At 38.1% G+C, this 21165-nt stretch overlaps 1 protein-coding gene and 1 pseudogene across 21 annotated transcripts in view; one reads left to right on the forward strand and one right to left on the reverse strand.

Moving 5' to 3' along the window:
• The window catches only part of DMD (dystrophin), a 2220167-nt gene that overhangs the window by 218642 nt on the left and 1980360 nt on the right, over positions 1-21165 (reverse strand). For all 21 annotated transcript variants that reach the window (XM_006724469.4, NM_000109.4, XM_011545467.2 and 18 more), the window contains 1 exon segment: positions 10693-10771. In XM_006724469.4, coding sequence (XP_006724532.1) covers positions 10693-10771 — 79 coding nt within the window.
• RNU6-894P (RNA, U6 small nuclear 894, pseudogene) lies at positions 10329-10433 on the forward strand (annotated as a pseudogene).

A 21165-nucleotide genomic window follows, 5' to 3' on the forward strand; every position in this document is an offset into this window, starting at 1 on the left:
TGTAAGTCCGTGACGAAGGAGTGGTGGTTAGTGATCCAGCTAAATGCGCCCATTCAGCTCTAAAGCCAGATTATGCATGGGGTATGATAGCAGCTTCATAAAGTCTAGGAGAGGTTAATACTATTGTTGTTCCACTCAGATCCCTTTTACTGAGCTGGTTCACCCAGCCGCAGTTGTTGTGAGTGTTGGTTGCTAAGGCCTCATTGGTCCTTTCACCAGAAATCCTCCCTTGGCCAAATGGGAACTGCTTTGCTATCTCCTACTCCCCAGAAATCCACAGCCAATGACTAATTCACACGGGAAAATAAAAGCCCAGCCCTGGCTGGGCGCGGTGGCTCACGCCTGTAATCCCAGCACTTTTGGAGACCGAGGCAGGCGGATCAGGAGATCAGGAGTTCGAGACCAGCCTGGCCAACCTAGTGAAACCCCGTCTCTAGTAAAAATACAAAAAAAAAAAAAAAAAAAAAAATCCAGGCGCGGTAGTCCCAGCTACTCGGGAGGCTGAGGCAGGAGAATAGCTTGAACCTGGGAGGCGGAGGTTGCAGTGAGCCAAGATCACGCCATTGCACTCCAGTTTGGGTGACAGAACAAGACTCCATCTCAAAACAAACAAACAAAAAGCCCAGGCCCCTTATCTCAAAGTAGGGACAATTTGTTCTCCAGAGCTCCCTGTGGGATCAAGCTGAAGTGAGTCTCTTCCTTCCCACTTAACTCCTTGACCAGCATCCTTCTTACTTTATCCTGCTTCCCTCACTCCCTTTCACCTGAACAAATTACTTCTACAAGAAGCCCCATCTATCTAAATAGGGCTCTACTTCTAGGGATTTTACCTAAGGCTAGGGTGAGCAACTATCTTGGTTTGCCTGGGACTACAGAGATTTCCTGGAAAATGGGAATTCCAGTGCTAAATCCGGGAAAGTCCCAGACAAACCAGGATGAGTGGTCACTCTGCAACGCACATAAATATTTGGATCCTGAGCATCCTTCCTGCTAAGTTTATGAAGATTCTTTGCCTACAGGGACTTGAGTGATCCAAATAACATAGATAAATTAGTCATTTCTGGGAAACCATCTATGCACAAAAAAAAAAAAAAAAAAAAAACAAAGTGCCCCAATTTGTAGTATTTGCCAATTTCCATGGAGTAAATCTTCCCACTATGCCTGATTTCAAGCTACCAAAGGTAGGCTTAATAACTAGCTCACAATTCCTGTATATTTTACAATTGGCTCTCTTGAGCCATTGTAAGCCAGCCCCAGCACAGAAATTCCCATAGCAGAAACAAAAACGTTCTGTTTCCTCATGTGTTCAAATTGATGGGATATATAGGGCCAACGATGCAAAATCTGGTTGCTAATGATACTGTAAAGCAAATAAATCTGAGAGCTTATTGGGGAGTATACATTTGAGCTAAAGGAGAAAAGGGCCATGACAACACATTTTAAGAAGAGAATATAATTATTACTGCTGTAGCTGCTTTTTATGGGCATTGGAAAGGCTGTCTTTGAATTTATAGGGGCATTATCAGCATCACTGGTAGGTCACATGGCATTTGTCCCAAATTCCTAACACTTGGGACAACATGTGACTGCTGAAGAAACTGGCTCAAATCATTTCACCCTGAGATTTTACTTGAAAGAGAATTTTAGCCTGCAAATCATCTCACATTGGACCTGCAAAATTCTTTCTGACTTTTATCATGATGGCTTATTTTGATGTTTTTATTTTTTTGAGATGCAGTTTCACTCTTGTTGCCCAGGCTGGAGTGCAATGGCGCAATCTCGGCTCACTGCAACCTCTGCCTCCTGGGTTCAAGTGATTCTCCTGCCTCAGCCTCTCGAGTAGCTGGGATTACAGATGCATGCCACCACGCCCAGCTAATTTTGTATTTTTAGTAGAGACAGGGTTTCTCCATGTTGGTCAGGCTGGTCTTGAACTCCTGACCTCAGGTGATCTGCCCGCCTCGGCCTCCCAAAGTGCTGGGATTACTGGCGTGAGCCACCGCACCCGGCCTCATGATGGCTTATTTAAGCCAATCTGAAGCTTTAAATTATTGCCCCACTCATATTTCAAATTGTCTGTCCCCTGAGGACACTGGTAGCATAGGTTGGAGCACTGTTAAGTGAAATGTCAGCAATTATTAGATGTGCTTAAAGGTTTCCCCTATTTTTTAAAATTAAGTGTGTATGTGTAGTGGGGAATGTCCAGGATGAAAGCTTGGCAACTCTCAAGATAGAAACAAACTGCTAGGCCCTATGTATCAAGGAGAAACTGTAAAAGCTTGAGTCACTTTGACAAGAGAGAAAAAGACTTAACCAGGGATATGATTAAGGCAGTTAAGATTGTAAAGCCTGCAAGAAATAATGGATCAGTTATTTCTTTTTACAGTGTCTCATAATCTGAGAAGGTCACTCAATGAAACAGCTTTTAAATTCAGAATAAATAGTAAAAAGGAAATTTGTCTTTCAGAGTCCCATTGCCACTGCAAGAGGTCACTGGTTAAAAGCTGGAGTATAAAATGTTACCTTTATTGTTTTTTTTCCATTACAAAGGTAGTACATGCTATTACCAGAAAATTTGTAAAAGTAAAAAGAAAGAAATGATGCAATAACTGTTTGTCTTTTGGTATCTTTTTATTTTCCATTTTTCCTTTATGTGTACATTTCTGTTATTTTTATTTTATTTTGTAATATAGTTGTGATCATGCTGTAATTTTGAAGTCAGCCTTTTCCCTTAATGTATTACATGGTACAGTCGACTTTGATAAAAACGACCATATAAAGTTATGAATGCTATTAGTCTTTGCTGAGAAGCAACAGAAAAGGTCACATTATTTATTGAGTGTCTACTATGTGATAGCCACTATGCTAAATCTCATGCCTCTGTGTATTATCAATGTCAAGAGTGAATTTACCTCTTCTTCTTTTGGGTATAAGACATAATTCATTCTGTAAATATTTACTGAACATCTACCAAGTACCACATACCACATTAGGTACTGTAGAATATAACTGTCAACAAGACTAATACTATCCTGACATTTTAGAGATTAAGGTCTATCTTTTTGATTATTTATCACTCGTTAGTTATACAAACAACTATTGAGCCGTTCTAATGTGCAAAACACTGGACTTTCAGATTAGATCCTTGGAAATCATCTTCAGAAAGGAGAGGAACTACTTATACTGACCATTAAATGCAAGAGAATGAATGAAACTTTCATGACTAGTTTGACTCTAACAGGCATGCATTAAGTTATACTATCAAGCTGATAGTAATAATGATACTAATGCTAAAGCTAATAGCAAACACTTGAATAGCACTTACTATGTTCCAGGCACTACTCTAAGGGTTTTACAAATATTAACTGTTTGATCTTCACTGTAACCCTATGAAATAATACAGCCATATTTCACCGAATTCAATATCCCATTGGTCGTATGGTGCATTCTGATTTCAGAACTGTTGAAACGTGGGTGGAAAAGTGTGTCTTACAATTGACCAAATATGTTACTATTATCCCTATTTTAAAGATGAAGAATAAAGAGAAAGAAAAAAGCATAAAGTGTCTGAGTCAATATTTGAACCCAGTCAGTTTCATTTTACAGCTTTTACTCTTAACCGCTATCGATACCATTTTGATAAGGCAGTTTTTAGCCCAGAGGTGTTGAGAGAAAAATTTAGGTTATGTAAATCAACTTAGGATGGCCAAACGAAGAGGAATATACGAGAGAATAATCGTTGGCAATAGCAGATAGACTAGACAGTTATTGGCCTGGGCATTTCTTCTTAACGGGTAAGGCAGTGTGATGTGTGGCTTGGATGTCCAGAAACTGGGTTCCAGTCCCAGTATTATAACTATCTTTGTGACCTTGGTTATGTCATTTGATCGTTCTGCACCTATTTCATTATCTGTAAAATAAGGAAAGGGCTCGAATGATTCAATGTTTCTCAAACTATTTCGACTGCAACCCACAGAAGAAAAACGTTTTACACTGTGATCTGGCGTGCGCGCGTGCGTGCGCGCGCGCACACACACACACACACACACACACACACGCATGTACACACATATCTAACAAATTAACCACCGCCAAAACAACACTTAACCTTGCTTAGGTAATGCACTCTGATATTTTCTAATCTGTTCCATTCCATTCCATTCCATACCAGTCAAAAATTGTTGGTTGTAAGTCATTAAACTGATTTTAGGATTTGCTAATGAGCCACACCTCAGAGTTTGGAAACTACTGGTATAGATACTTTCTAAGCTTATCTCCAGTTAGGAAACTCCACAGCACAAGAGGGCTCCTGGGTGGGAGTGGGGCTGGGAACTTCAGTAAAGAGAGGGACTTGACCCTTTTGCCTCATAAATACTCATTTTCTTTTTAATTGGATCACGTTTCTACAACCTTTAGCAGAAATTTTTTGTCATTAAAGCATCTGGCAAATACCACATTAAGGCAAAGATTCACTGTGATCCATGGCATAAAGTTTAGTGTGAAATTAACTGGTGTGCCTGAAAAAGGCTTCCACAGTCACCTAAAACTGGAGAACTATAGACTCCTTATCCTCTTAGAGTCTCAGTGTATAATAAAAATTCCAAGAATTCTAACAAGAAATAAACTTGCTTATCTTTGAAACCTAGTGTTTTTCCAATCTTATTAATCAGTACTATTTTTTTCAAGGGACAGTTATCAAAACCTAATATAACATTAATGTTTTAAAGAACCTGGCTTGGAAAATATTCTTTTAAGGGACCTCTGGAACTTGTAAAATATTAAGAAAACCATGGATTCTTTTTACTGTTATAGAATGATTTCTCCCTTTACCCAAATATATAGTGATCTTTCTTGGTGAGAAAAGTAGAATTTAGAACAGAAGACCAGAGAATTGAAATAATGGTCAGGAAAAATCTTTAAATTCTTTTTTTGAGACAGAGTCTCTCTCTATCACCCAGGCTGGACTGCAGTGGCATGATCTCAGCTCACTGCAACCTCCACCTCCAGGGTTCAAGCCATTCTCCTGCCTCAGCCTCCTAAGCAGCTGGGATTACAGGCGAGTGCCACCACGCCCAGCTAATTTTTGTATTTTTAGTACAGATGGGGGTTTCACCAGGTTGGCCAGGCTGGTCTTGAACTCCTGACCTCAAGTGATCTGCCCACCTCAGCCTCCCAAAGTGATGGGATTACAGGTGTGAGCCACCACGCCCAACAAATCTTTAAACTCTTCAAAAGAAAAGGACAATTTTCAGACTACTATGCCAACCAATGAATACTTTAGTACTTTCTTAATCACAGACATATGAAGAGACTGACAATATACCTACCAATTATACATATATAACTATAAATTAGTATATAATTTAAATAATTTAAATGATAATTTTATTGTAAATTATATACATATTTGAAGTCACACTATTAGAATTTCTCCTTTTTCTTGGTTTAAGTTGTAGAAGTCAATTAGGAGTAGCAGTGTATTAAAACTAGAAGTAAGGACAAGTTAGTGTCTATCAGCGGAGAAGGGTCATATTTCACAATGCTTTTCTCTTCTCATTTTCTCTTAGATCTAAGATAAAAGAAAAAATTTCTTTAACATGTAGAGATTGGGCCACCAGGAAGAAACAGTGAATTCTTTTTTTTAGTAAAAGGCTGCCTCTGTCTTCTGATAAACAACAGACAGCTGGTAATGTAATTTCCAAATAATTTCCAAAGGGGAGTGTGTGTGTGTGTGTGTGTGTGTGTGTGTGTGTGTGAGAGAGAGAGAGAGAGAGAGTGCACACACGTGCGAGACAGAGAGAGAGAGAGAATAAGATAAACAGAGACAGTAAGCATGTTTACGCTGGCGGGTGCAATTAGTAGTTCCTCCTTATTTTTCTTTTCTTTGTAATTTCTAAGCTTTAGGAGCCACCCTATTATTATTTATAGTAACCTGAAAGCACATTACTAAACATGTATCAACTCAGGCCTGTCTAAAAAAAAGTATCAATTCAAATTCATTTAATATGACCTTAGAGGAATATTTAAAACATATTTTTATTCATTGGTGGGGGGAAGCTGCTTTTATAGTAGCAAATACGTGACTTCAGAGATGTCCTGCTTCAAATATGGTGATTTTTTTTTTTTTTTTAAATTTAGGGTCAGGGTCTTGCTCTGTCACACAGATTGGAGTGCGGGGGGGGGTGGATTATGGATCACTGCAGCCTTGACCTCTTGGGCTCAAGTGATCCTCCTGCCTCAGTTTCCCAAAGAATTGGGATTATAGGCATGAGCCACACCATGCCTAGCTCAAATACGGTTTGGATGGCACACCCAATTTCTGGTGCAATTTTCTAGAGGTAAGTTTGGCAATACACTTGAAAAGGCTTACGAATGTAAACATTCTTTAACATGACAATTCCACCTTTAGGCATTTATCCTGTAGAAAGAATCTGAGATATTTGTAAAGGTATAAAAAGGATATTAGCCATAATGCTCGATATAATAAAGATTGTGAAATAATCTTTATATTGAGCAATTTAGAATTGTGTTGGTAAATTTGGTACAGCCACAGAAGAGAGTATTAGCCAGTCATTAGAAAAATTACTCTGAAGAAGAATATTTAAACACACGAAAATATTGGAAAGATAGTTTTAAGGGAAAAAAGCAGCTCATAAAACTGTAGCATGTTTTTATCTGCGCATGGTTTAAAAGAAAAGAGAGAGGCCGGGCGTGGTGGCTCATGCCTGTAATCTCAACACTTTGGGAGGCCTCAGTGGGTGGATTACTTGAGGCCACAAGTTCGAGACCAGCCTGGCCAACATAGTGAAACCCCGTCTCTACTAAAAATACAAAAAATTAGCCAAGCGTGGTGGCGTATTCCTGTAATCCCAGCTACTCGGGAGGCTGAGTCATGAGAATCGCTAGAACCCAGGACGGGGGAGGTTGCAGTGAGCTGAGATTGCACTCTGTCTCAAAAAACAAAAAAATAAAAAAATAAAAGATAGAACCTTGATACACACACACACACACACACGCAACCACAAGAGAAATACAGAAAGTATATAAACCAAATTTCTGATAGTGATTATCTCTGAGTCATAGGATTATGGATACTTTTTCTTTTCTTGTTTGTACTGTGGGCTTTCCAAATTTTTCTTGATGTGTATAGAGTACCTTTGTAATTTTAAAAAGTACAATGTAAAGAAACAATCCATCCTTAGTCTCACCGTCCTATTTCTTAAATATCCCTTAAACCAAGTTGGTATTTTCTTTATACCTGCAAGCAAAGCTTTTAAGCGTATATTGATATTCCACATGGGCATCCAAGAGACTGATGACTTCCGGGGCTGGCTCCATTCAGGCAGGTAGATCAGTCTCTTTATGAATACCTGTGTCTAACAGGCCTGACCTTTCTGGAAGTGGGCACTGATGTGATATGGTTTGAAAGGTGTGAGAATGCTCCCCTTGGCCCCTCAAAGTTCCTTCCTCACAGCTCAGAGCTTATGGCCGATGTTCTACCACCTCAGGCTTATGGATTTTCACACTAATAAAATGCAAATAACCCAGGAGAAGTACACATTAAACTTTACCTATCACTTGGGTTAAATGAGTATATCATTTTCTGAAAATAGGTTTTAATGGGTAAGACATGGGAATTCAGAGGGGGAGTCAGGGAGAAGAAAATATGAATGAATATACCTGGTGTCTGAGGAGTAATTAATATTCATAATAGTACTATTTTTTATTTATGGTTTATGAGTCGCTTAGGAGTATGTTATCACATTTAATCTCAATTAAATCGAATAGAATGGCTGTCACCAAGGCAAGTTAAGTAGACCAGAGATTTGGAAAGATGCAGAAGACGAAATCTGTAGCCTTTATCATTTTTCTAGAGCCGTTCCTAAAAGCCACGATCCCACTCATTTAGATAAACTGCTTTAACTTATCCCTTTTTCTTGGCAACTCCAAAGCATTGTGAAACTGTGTCCAAATAACTAGACCACATGCGGATAATAAAGTTAGAGCCAGTCCAGAAAATAAGATACTTCTTCTTAATCTATTATCGATGTATGACAAAAACACAGGACCAACACCTTCCAGGAAATTTTGTTCAAAAAGACAACAGCCAACTGGAGACACACATGACAACATCTACTCAAATACTTTAAAGTATTTGTGAGCGTGGATCTTTTTATTAACCCGTGGAGAATGGAAAAGAAAGGAAATGATCAGAAAATGGCAATGAAAGAATATGGCAGAAGAATGGAGATCATACAGAATTACTTCCTCTCTATAAAATATATAAATTAAGTAAAATTACAGTGCGATGCTTAAAAACACAGACTCTGGAGCCAACTTCTTGAGTTTCAATCCTGGCTCCCTCATCTACTAGCTGTATGAATGTGTGCCTCAGTTTCTTCATCATTGAAATGGGTATAATAATGGTACCTACCTTAAGGGATTGAAGGGATTGCTATAAGGATTAAACTAGTTAAAATCTGTAACATTTCTAGGCACAAAGTAATTGCGTTAAAATGATGGATAAACCCTCATATATACTCATATATGACCACAAGGAAATACATCAGAATGCTAACAGATGTTAACTCCATGTGGTAAAGTATGGCTTTTTAAATACCAAAAAACTCAACACATATACTTTTATAATCAAATAAAAAGTGGTATAAATTAACATTAATCAGAGGAAAACAGGTGCTTGCCAATTTAATATGCAATATTGTATAAATAGGATTTTCTAATACTTAAACTTTCAGTTAACCAAGGTTATTTCTCTTAGTATTAATTATAAAAACATAATTAATAAAATAGCAAAACCAGTAAATAAAAAGAATGGCTAGAGGTCAAGAACAAAAGGAGAATACAAGGCTCACGAATGTAATCCTAGCACTTTGGGAGGCCAAGGCGAGTGGATCACTTGAGGTCAGGAGCTCGAGACCAGCCTGACCAATGTGGTGAAGCCTCGTCTCTACTAAAAAAATACAAAAATTATCTGGGCCTGGTGGTGTACACCTGTAGTCCCAGCTACTCGGGAGGCTGAGGCAGGAGAATAGTTTGAACCCGGGAGGCGGAGGTTGCAGTGAGCCAAGATCACGCCACTGCACTCACAGCCTGGGTGACAGAATGAGGCTCCCTCTCAAAAAAAAAAAAAAAAAAAAAAAAAAAAAAAAAAAGGAAGGATGCAAACAGTTAGGGAAAGGAAATGCCCATAGGCTGAGGTTTCAACTTGGAGGCATAGTATTTATTTATTATTGATATATAATATTTTACATATTTATGAGGTAATGTGATATTTTACTGGCATAGAATGCATAATGATCAAGTCAGGGTATTTGAGGCATCCATTACTTTGAGTATTTGTCATTTGTCTATGTATTGGGAACAATTCAAGCCCTTTCTTCTTGGTACTTTGAAATATACAACACATCGTTGTTAACTACAGTCACTCTATTCTGCTGTCAAATGATATAACGTAGTCCTTCTATCTAACTGGATGTTTGTACCCATTAACCACCCTCTCTTTATCTCCCCCTCTACCCACACACCTTTCCCAGCCACTAGTATCTATCATTCTATTCTATGTTTATTATCAATTTTTTTAGCTCCCACAAGAGTAAGAACATGCGATTTTTGTCTTTCTGTGCCAGGGTTATTTCACTTAACATAATGACCTCCAGTTCCATCCATGTTGCTGTGAATGACATGGTTTCATTCTTGCAGTGTTTCATTGTGTACAGATACCACATATTCTTTATCCATTCATCTGTTGATATACACTTAGGTTGATTTCACATCTTTGCTGTTTTAAACAGTGCTGTGATAAGCATGCAAGTGCAGGTACCCTTTTGATATACTGATTTCTTAGCTTTGGGATGGATAACCAGTAGTGGGATTGCCAGATGGTAAGGTAGTTCTATTTACAGTTTGTTGAGAATCTTCATACTGTTACTAATTTACTGTTACATTTTCATCAACACTGTAAAAGAGTTCCCTTTCTTCACATTCTCACCAGAATCTGTTATTTTTTGTCTTTTGAATAATAGCCATTCTAATTGGGGTAAGACGATATATCATGTGGTCTTGATTTGCATTTCCCTGGTGATTAGTGATGTTGAGCATTTTTTCATATACCTGTTGGCCATTTGTATGCCTTCTTTTGAGAATTGTCACTCATTTCATAAGGCAGGGATCATTTAATGAATTATTTAAAGAATTATAGAGTCACAGTAACATATATTGGATGATCATATTATAATTACATGATATCATAATTATTAGCTTTATGAACTGAACTGATAGGCAGAAATTAAAAACTCAAAAGTATGTTTTTGCTTCAGCAGCCCATATACTAACATTGGAATAATGATACAGAGAATACTAGCATGGCTCCTGAGCAAAGTGTTCCACATTTTTCAAAAAGACTCAAAAATATTAATATGGTTAACATTTGAGAATATAGTGCAGGAAACAATTATGCATTAGCTGAAGACTGGACAAAATGATCCAATTGGCCTTCCTCTTCCTAACCTTCTCAACTTATCAACCAAGTTATATTTCAGGATGATTTATGCTTCTACTGCATCTGATAAAAGATTACTATAATTCAACTCTTAATTCTTTTGTTTTTTCAACTGTTATTCTTATTAATCAAGATGCAATAAAGTTAAGTGATAAAAGCTGAAAATGACTTACTGGAAAGAAAGTGCTGAGATGCTGGACCAAAGTCCCTGTGGGCTTCATGCAGCTGCCTGACTCGGTCCTCGACGGCCACCTGGGAGGAAAAGGAGAGAAATGATGTTCTCTCATTCTATATAATGAGGAACAATTAAAACAATGTATCCTTTCTGATAAGATACTTTGAGTCTCCAAGACTGAGAACACTAAAGCAACATTTCATAACTCTAGTTTTAATATTCACTTACCGTATATAGTATTCCAGACTCGTTTTTATCAATCCAAGGCCAAACACAAAGGATTTCCTCTCTCGACAATGTTAAAATGAGATTTTGGTTTTTTTTTACAGTCAACTCATTGGCAGCCACAAATGAACTACTGCTTCAATTAGTACCATAAAAAAATACAAATCTTTACTTTCACAAAAACATTAGGGAGGGTGACATTTGGTATAGGTGACTACAGAATCTCAGAAATGACATGTCTTGTCTTTAAGTCTTAGGCTATTGTTTTTGACAAATTTTTAAAGAAGCAATATTGATTAATAGATAATAAATCATTGAGTGATATTTAATTATTGATAATTATTAATTAACCAGTGGTTGATTAATATTTAATTATGGGCTGGGCACAGTGACTCATGCCTGTAATCCCAGCACTTTGGGAGGCCAAGTTGGCTGGATCACTTGAGGTCATAAGTTCGAGGCCAGCCTGGCCAACATGGTGAAAACCCGTCTCTACTAGAAATACAAAAATTAGTCAGGTGTGGTGGCGCATGCCTGTAGTCCCAGCTCCTAGGGAGGCTGAGGCAGGAGGGAGGCTGCAGTGAGCAGAGATCACGCCACTGTACTCCAGCCTGGGTGACAGAGTGAAACTCCACCTCAAAGAAAAAAATATTAAGTATCAAAGAAGTACAGGCAAGGCTTAAATTTGGGATAAAATAGGGTGGGTAGTAAGATAAAACTAATTTTCGGAATTCAGTTTTCAGTGGACTTGGAAATTATTAAGAAATATACCTTTAGGGGGCATGCAGTGAAAACTGCCATTCTTTTCTTCCTATTAGGTTTTTCTATAATATATTGACACAGTGTGCTGTCAACTTAGTGAGTTCTATTCTTGGTGGGGAAGAAAGGAATAATTTTACGGGTGACATGCTATACTTACTTATTTGGCATTTTGCCAATCCAATATAAGTGGTGGCTCCAGGCATCCTAGCTCTCTAACTCTGGATTTTGATTTAGTTGTGAACAGTCCATGCTAAACTAGGGGTTGATCAGAGCTTGCACAGAGCAATCAGAACTCAGGGGGTAGTTCCCGTGGTGTGCAGAATTCCCGAGAGGTAAAAATCGATGTTAATCTCATCAGAAAAGTGGCTCAGGTAGCCTGGTCTCAAACCAACTCTGGCCTTCCAATATCAATTAAGTGCCTAGTGTATATCCAGAACAATCTCATTTTTTCACTCTCTCCCTAGACTTGCCCATTTTTGCTTGGCCCAAATACGTGGATAACCAAGTGGGGTTCCCCTACAATGCAGGATTTACTTTATTTTATATACACAAAAGCATGAGGGACATATCAAACCTACCTTCCCAACCTTATGACCCTGCACTCCCAAACTCTACCTGCTAAGCCCACCAAAACTACCTGCCTGTCCTGCACTATTCCATCCAATATAACTCTTGTGCGTGGCTTCTTCATGCTGCTCCTTCTCTCGGCAATGCTCTTACCCCACTTCTCTCCCAGATCAATGCTGTTAGTGTTTATATGTTTACTTCCTCATCTCCCAGGTTAGAATTAATGGCTTCCTCAGCATTCTAACAGTATATGGTTTATACCTGAAGCACTTCTATCATATAATTCATTTTAGTTATATGGACATGAGTGTGTCTTGCAATAGATTGGAAACTTCTTGATAGCAGGGACCATTTTTTGTTTACCTTTCTCTTCGAATGTCTCCAACCCTTTCTGCAGGAGGCACATAGTATATGGTAGCAAATATTTGTTTAATGACTAGTTGACCAAACAAATGGATGAGTAAATGAGTAAATGTGGTACGTGTGTGTGTGTGTGTGTGTGTGTGTGTGTGTGTGTGTGTGAGAGAGAGAGAGAGAGAGAGAGAGAGAAGAGAAGAGAAGCGATGCGGAACAAACAAGTATGCCTACTGACACTGAGTGCACTGACTGCAGGTCTGTAATGGTTAATTCTATGTGTCAAGTTGACTGGACTATGGGGTGCCCAGGTAAACCACTATTTCTGGGTGTGTCTGTGAGGGTGTTTTGCAGACAAGATTAGCATTTGGTTCAGTGGATTCAGTAGATTGCCCTCCCCAATGTGGGCGGGCATCATCCTGTCAGTTGAGGTCCTAAACAGAACAAAAAGGCATGTTCCTTTTTTCCCTGCAGGCCTGCTTGAGCTGGGATGTCAGTCTTCTCCTGCACTTGCACTGGGATTTACATCATCAACTCCCCTGGTTCTCAGGCCTTCAGACTGGGACTGAAATCACACTACCAATTTTCCTGGCTCTCTAGCTTGCAGATAGCAGGTCATGGGACTTCTTAGTCTCCAACTGCATGAGATAATACTTAATTTTATATATTCACACACACATAGACATACATATATACACACACACACACACACACATATACATACATACATACATATGTATATTGTTGCTTCTATTTCTCTGGAGAACCTTGACTAATCAATGTCCCTGGGTAAATTATTCTTAACTTTCCTTATCAGTAAAATGTGGAAAATAATATAACTTATAGGGTTTTGTGGGAATTAAATAAGATGATACAATGTAAAGCATTTAGCCTAGTTTCTGTCACGTGGTAATTGCTCAATAAATGTTACCAGCTACTGTTCTTGCTACTATTATGGTTAATAAAAGGAGAGGAATAGGCCAGGCATGGTGACTCACACCTGTAATCCCAGCACTTTGGGAGGCCGAGGCAGGCGGATCACTTGAGGTCAGGAGTTCGAGACCGGTCTGGCCAACATGATGAAACGCAGTCTCTACTAAAAATACAAAAATTAGCTTGGTGTGGTGGTGGGCATCTGTAATCCCAGCTACTCGGGAAGCTGAGACAGGAGAATCACTTGAATCTGAGAGGTGGAGGTTGCAGTGCGCCGAGATCGTGTCACTACACTCCAGCCTAGGTAACAGAACAAGACTCCATCTCAAAAAAAAAAAAAAAAAAAGCAAAAAAGGAGAGCAATAGACTATAATGTGCAGGGCACCACATACAATACAAAAATGGCTAATGTTTATTAAGCAATATGTGGCATGACAATATGAATTATGTTATTTCATCTTCACAGTAACTCTGCAATAGGAGTTAATATTATTCCCCCCGACTTCATTGACATAAAAACTGAGGCATGAGAGGTTAAAAAAAAAAAACTTGCCTAAGCTTCAGTAGTTAGTAAATTGGCAGAGCTAGGATTCAAACTCATTCAGTCTGGGTCTTGCTCTTAACTGCTATCCTGAAGATTAAAGTTGAAAAAAAGTATTTTATAAATATTTAATAAGTAATTGGCTTTTTAATTTCTTTAATCAGTTTATTGAATGCAGACCAATTCTAGTGTGCATATCGATGAAACTGCAGTTGTTCAACGTATTTTATGGCCCAATGCAAGGTCAATTCCTGGTCTTGAAGAATGTGATACCATAAGATTATAGAGAAAGGTTGTGGGAAAACGCGTGCAAATAAATGTTGGGCATATGTCATTATTTCTAAATTTAGAATGGGTCATTTCATGAATAAATCAATCTAGAGATAAATGTGAGTGTTTGGGGGTAGAGAGGAGAAGATGAAGATGCCATATGGGAGTGGACACTGATCAGAAATCTTTGCACATACTGAGAAAGAAATCCCAAGGGGAAGATGTAGATGGTAAAGGATTATGACTGTGCCATAGGCCACTTTCTCTAGTAAGAATGTTAGTTTCATAGGGACTGAGCCGATGCAGCATCAAAGTTCATTCTAGACTCCCAATCTTCTCTCTGAAGAATTTTGCCTTCTTATACAAGGAGCGCTCCAGTGGTAGTTTCCAGTGTACATTCAATATTGTCAAGATTTTAAAATGAGATCAAAGTGAATTTCCATCTTCATAACTCAAACTTAAGAGAAGGTATGACAGCGAGAAGAATTAAGCATAAAATATTTCTTTCCACAAATTATCACTGGAGAAAGGTTTTGTGTGGATTGAATGCACAACTGGCTAAATAAAGAAACAAATTTATGAATGAGAAAAACTTGAAAGCAACCAAAGTCCTCGAAAGCTTTAGCTTGGGACTTAGGAACAAAGCACTTTATTCTTTGAGCAATTATGCAAGGAAATGAAATTTGATAATCTATTAAACGAGAGCCTCCATGCATTAGATCTTTCTAACTGGCTGTATGTTAAATCAATATACCGTGGTATATACAAAACAGGAAGCAAAAGCCAGAAATGATATACCTGTGTCTTATGTTCTGGCACAATCAGTTCTTTCCTTGGTGGTTTATTCATTTTATAAGTATTTGTTAATATTGAAAGAGATAGGCAAAAAACAAATGCTATAGTCCCTGATCTCTGCAAGTGTAAAGGTTTGGAGGTAAGAAGTAGTGACAAGCTGAAGAAAGGCTTGGGGCTGCAGAACAGTGGTGTTGAGGACGACAGTGAGATACAATTAGTTAGTCATGTTGAAAGCCGATGATGCAAAGCAAGGCGTCCCAGACTCTGAGGCTCAAGATTTACCCTGCAGGCAAAGAGAACCACTGAAAATTTCTGTGACATGACTCACTATTTTAGAGGAAAGTTAGGGTTTGGGAAGATCAGTATAGTGTAAAACAGATTCGAAAGGGCACCTGAGACTGAGATCAGAAAGAGGCTGTTGTAACTTACTAGACTTGGGTTGATATGCATTAGAATTAAGGCTGTATTGTATTCAATGTAAAAGAAGGTACATATGAGAAGGTATTTTGAAAGGAGGAAGAACTATCCAATTTGGTGTTGGAGATTAATATCTGAAGAAGCAAATAAACTCTTGGATTTCGAGTAAGGAAGACTGGGAGAATGAAGATATTGCTGGTGGCAATATGAAAATCAGAAAAGGAAGAAATAGCATATGTATGTATGAATTCATTTGGAACATAATGAATTTGTCCTAACAGTGAAACATTTAACTGGAGATGTCATGTATAGCCAGTTAGAGATGAACAATTTGTCTCAGCAATTAAAGAAAGGAAAGGGAAGTGAGACTAAAAGGGGTAAGAGTGAGCTTTGGAAGGTGAGCCAAGAAAGAAGAGATAAAGGAGTTTAAATAGAATGATTTAAACAGCCAGGAGGAACCCAATCTCTTCTGAATTAATAGGGCATGTCTCTGTTTCCTTTTATAAAAGTAATACAAATATAACATCTTTTTGGAAGCATACATCCTGTTTCAACTATTAGATCATAGATCACGAAAGCTTAGAACTGGAAGAAACCTTGATTGATACACGAGGGTCTATTCTTCAGAACTATCCCAGATGGGCAGAAAACTGCCATCTGGTCCATGAGAACTCATAATCTAGGTTGCAGCAATTCTTCAGTAAAAGCATCTCAGGAAAAAAAGGTCCTTTTTTATATGTTCCATGAGGACAGGGACACATCTTTCCCTGCTAAATCCTCAGTGAGTAGCACAGTACCTGGCATATAATAGGTGCTAAATTAATATTAGTTGAATGAATTAATGTACTGTTTATTCACGGATCTTTACTATTAACAACTATATTTTGAATGAATCATTTCTTTTTCAAGATCCCTGACACAAGCTTTTGAAAAACTTCCCTCCCTCCCTTCTTCCTTTCCTTCTTTTCTTCCTTCCTCCTTTTCTTCCTTTCTTCCATTTTTGATGATGAAAGTAAAAAAAAGAAAAGAAGAAAACCATTTAGATTCAATTTTGCCTATAATACTAGATTTAAAAATGTAAAACGGCAATTTATAAAACAACCCTGAAGTCCAAATCTCCTCCACATTTGTTTTACTCTAGTTTTTAAATAATCATATTTAAGATTTGAGAGTTATGAGGGCTATATATTATTCTCCTTGGTCTTCTCATTTCAGATGAGTTCTGTAGACAGTATACTGTTTGCAGAGACCTTCCTTTCTTAGCTTCAGTAAGAAATATCACTACATTCATTCAAAAGATATTGACTAGAATGTAAGTTTATTGTCCACAAAGACAGAGATCTTATCTGTCTTGTTAAGAATTTATCACAATGCCTAGTACATAGAAGATGATCAAGAAATACTGAATGGATGAATGAATGAAAGGCTTTTTGAGTTCCTCTTATTTGTCAGGCACTGAGATAAGTATGAATACGGTAGACTTGAAAGCGTAATTCTGGGTATAATGAATGAGCACCAAATCATCCAACTAAATTACGATACGACACACACTCTTAATTCCAAGCTGTGACTGTTTCCCAAAGCTCAGTCCATTCCTCTGTGTATTGTGAAAGATAAGCTTTATTTCATTTTTTCTTCAACATTGCTTTTAAATAAGCCAAAAGAATAAAAGAAAGAAAGAAAAAGGACCGATAACAACATCATGGCTCTTAGAAATTATTTCAAATAAATTTATCTAAATGTAAATGTTGGTTCTTTAACTTTGTTTTAGATTCTCAAGGGCTTCCACTTTGTCTTTTGACCTTTCTGTTAATTACTCTACTTTGAGTTTTATCTTCACTAGAAGTTTAGGAGAGACAGGCATTACCTCCCCATGTGGAAATACACTGCTAGGCAATGTGGTTTCTTCCTAGTGTCCAAGCTACATCTTACTGATTACTACATACATAAATCATGTTTACTCCAGTCTAGAGAAAATATGTAACTAGGAACGTATGTTTTGATTTTCTGGTTCTCAGTTTGTCTAGACCCTAGATAAATATCCATGGGAATGCAAGAAACAGACATGACACTTACACAAATGAGCCTATTAAAACAAAAACAAAAGCAAAAGACAGAAACTCTTGTGCTGTGATGCTAGTAAATAAACCACACATATGCACACAAATGACTCTCCAGTCTATTCACGAGTTTTTGTCCTGAAGTTTTTCAGTTTGTACAGTTTCTGTGTGCATGTGTCTGTGTTGGGGGAGGAACTTCCTCGTTCATTCTTACTCCCAAATCCTCACAAGTAACACTCATAAATACGTGCCCAAACATTATCCGGGAAACGCTCCTGAGACTGATTACAGTTTCAGTTAAAATCCTTTTAACTAATGGTAATCCCTTTCAGTTAAAATCCATTATTATTCTAATTCTGATTCTTTTGAGTTGTAACTGAAAAAATAATAAAAAAAAAAAAAGTCTGAGATAAGTTCTGGTCTTGATTTCAAACTCTCCTGGGCCTCCCAGAGTGCTGGGATTACAGGCATGAGCCACCTCTACCGGCCATCTTCTGGAATGAAGTTTTGTGATAGGTATAGCTCTGCGGCAAAACAACCTGGGCTTGTTGAATGCAAAGATTAACTGAATTGTCTTTCCTTTGAGTTTATTTCTGTGTTTTCCTGACATTAGGGCACTTAGGAGTTAAACAGTGTTTCTTGCGTTTGACTTCAGGATAGATCACGGGAAACAACTAGTGCTAACATGGCACTCACTCTGAGTAGGAGCATAATTCTTAATAGATTTTGTGTGACTTATGGCATTGATACTAATGCCGTGCCATCTGAGACCATCCTTAATCTACCTTTTAAGGTTCCTGCATCACAGCTTTTTTTCCTTCCATTTTATATTTCTGTGCTGACTTCTTTCTTAATCTGACTCCTTTTTTTATTCCCTCCTTTTTCTGTCCTTTCTCCTCCAGCCCTCCCCCTTTATTATGTTCTATACAACCTACCAGAAGAGTACACAGACTCTGCTGAGGCAAACAGTGCCTCAAATGAAGGGGCTGTGCATGCTTGCAAGACAAGCGAGGCAGGATATGAATAGGACTCCTAGCCTAGTGCCAGCCCAACGCTTCTCCAAGAACATTCTTCCTCTAATTCTGATGAACTCTGCCATCAAACTGGAAGGCAAGAGAGAACAAAACAGCAAGCTCTTTGTCCGTTGTTAAGCCTTTAATCTTTCACCTCACCGATTTCTAAAATGCACTTTGGATGTTTGTTTATTGGTTTTCTTGCTTATGCAACTGCCTCATTCTGTGATAATGGAGTCAGGTTATATCAACATTAAATTGACTTCATAGACCCAAGTACCTTAAGGGTATCATTCATTTTAATTTAGAAAAGCAGCAATCAACCTCCTATCCTGTTTCATTTGTCAAAATCTTTAGTTTTAATTACATCTACAGACTTATGAAAATTGTGACAGGAAGAGAAGAGATCATAGGAAGCATTTCTTCTGCCTTTTTTTTTTTTTTTTTTTTTGGTCTCAGAGAGAAAAGAGGAAAGTTGAATTACTTTGCCTGGAAGGTGATGTAACTTGATACAGATTTTATCTTAAAAAATAGGTTCCCTTTTAAAAGTTTTCCTAATGTATCTCATGATTTGCAACAGGAACTAAAGTCAAGTGGCTCTCACCTTACAACATCATTACATTAAATCATTTACATTCCAGCCTTAGCTATTTATTCTTGAGCTTTATTTATACCACATTTGGAAGATATCGTTCTCACAGAAATTTTCTGAGGCCATTGGAGCATTCCTTTCTAGGGGCATTTTGGCCCATAAGTAGCATAATGTTCACATGGTAATTACATAATTATGCCTCCTGGTATTTGAACACAGGAGTATTTCCAAGGAACAAAAGTGGCAATTTGAAATAATCATCAGTGAGATACCATAGAACTGGTATTGTCCGAAAAAAAAAAAAAAGACGGCATATATTAGGAAATTCATATTAACGAATGACTGAAACAGGTAGATAAATGCAAAAAGATAAAGCACTGGAAATCAAACATTTTCATCTCAGTGGCAGAAGCTTTTATATTTTGGGTAACAATATACTTGTAGATTTTCAGTTTGTTCTACTAAACACTTCTTTAATAAAGGCTGGAAGGGGGAATTTGCTGAAGTCTGCAACAACCCTTAACCGAGGAAATCAACCCTCCTTAAATCCCGTACCATCCTTGCAGCATTTCCAAAGCTTCCTGACCTTGACTCCCTTCACAGTCAATTTGACCACCACTCAAGGAAGCTTGTCCGCCAGAAGACCCTGTTTCCACTTCCCGGCTCTCCTCCTCTGGCAAGTGACTGAAAAGCGCCTTTCTTTTCTCTCACTGATGCAGAACTGACAAACCAGTATCAAGCCGTTCTTTACAAATCAATAAACCGGAAGATCTCATCTACTGTACTTCCAAATCCTACAACATTCTGTCTTCTCTCTTCTTCGCATATCATAAGCCACAAGTTATTTACTTCACGCTTCTTAGTAAAGGACAGGGGATGGAGCAATGTGCTTCCATTGTTTCTCTGTGTAGATGTGTGAGAACCAGAATTAAAACTCTGCCATGGACTCACAGTCTCTACGGTCTCTCTCCCTCTGTCTTCTTTGCACACTTCTGACCTAGCCCTCCTCTTCTCTCCCCCTGCCTCCCTCTTCCCTCATTCCCCCTCACCCCACCCCCAAGGCTGTTTGTAAGCTCCCCAAATGCTCATAAGACTTTCCTGAACTATTTCAGATATTTTCACTTCAACTCTAAACTAAAACTATTTTGTTTTTCCAAATGTGGCTTTACATAGTGCAGAAAACTACAGGGAAAACATCCAAAGTACAATGTGATCTTTTATAGGAGAAACAAAAGATTGAATTTCTAGGTCATCATGGAAGTAGGTACACTTCCCTGGGCGATAATCTGAGGTACTTTATAAGCTTCTTTCTTTCACGAAAGCAAGAAATCCTAAAATCCATCAAGATACGTGCACTGTGCCTCAACTCTCTTTTTAATCCTCAAGTGAAATCAACACAGTACAGTGTAATAAAAATGCATATAGCCCCAGGCTTTGTGCCTTAGCAAAGAGAGAAAAAATAAGCTTCCTGACTTCATATGTCTACTGTGAATAATCAGTCACTGCGTTTTTGGGATTTTGCTTTATAATCTTAACGTATAGCAGTGAACTCCATGTTTGTGGTGTGACAAGAATAAAGGATTCTTTTTCTTTCTTTAAAACAGGTTGTTCCCATATTTTCCATAAGAGAGACATGTGTCGGCTTAAAAGAAATGAAACTACAATGGTGTGAGGGAGGAATCTCCTGATTGTTAGCGTATATTTTCTGCATTTTACCTGAAATTGTCAACGAAGTGTAGGTAAAGTTAAGGCGGGGCCCTAGGCTGTTCAATAACGTGGCTAACATTTGGTTTGAGGGCCTTCTCAGTTCTGTTCCCAAATAGTCAGCCTTTCTTTCCCAACTGCTTGTCCTTAGCTGATTAGTAAATAACCCTAGGAAGATAAATGATTGTTCATAACAGGCTTCCAGTACCACAGCTGTGAGTATTTGCATTTTAAGTGC

The sequence above is a fragment of the Homo sapiens genome, chromosome X, assembly GCF_000001405.40.
Source record: "Homo sapiens chromosome X, GRCh38.p14 Primary Assembly".
In the NCBI taxonomy this organism is placed as follows: domain Eukaryota; kingdom Metazoa; phylum Chordata; class Mammalia; order Primates; family Hominidae; genus Homo; species Homo sapiens.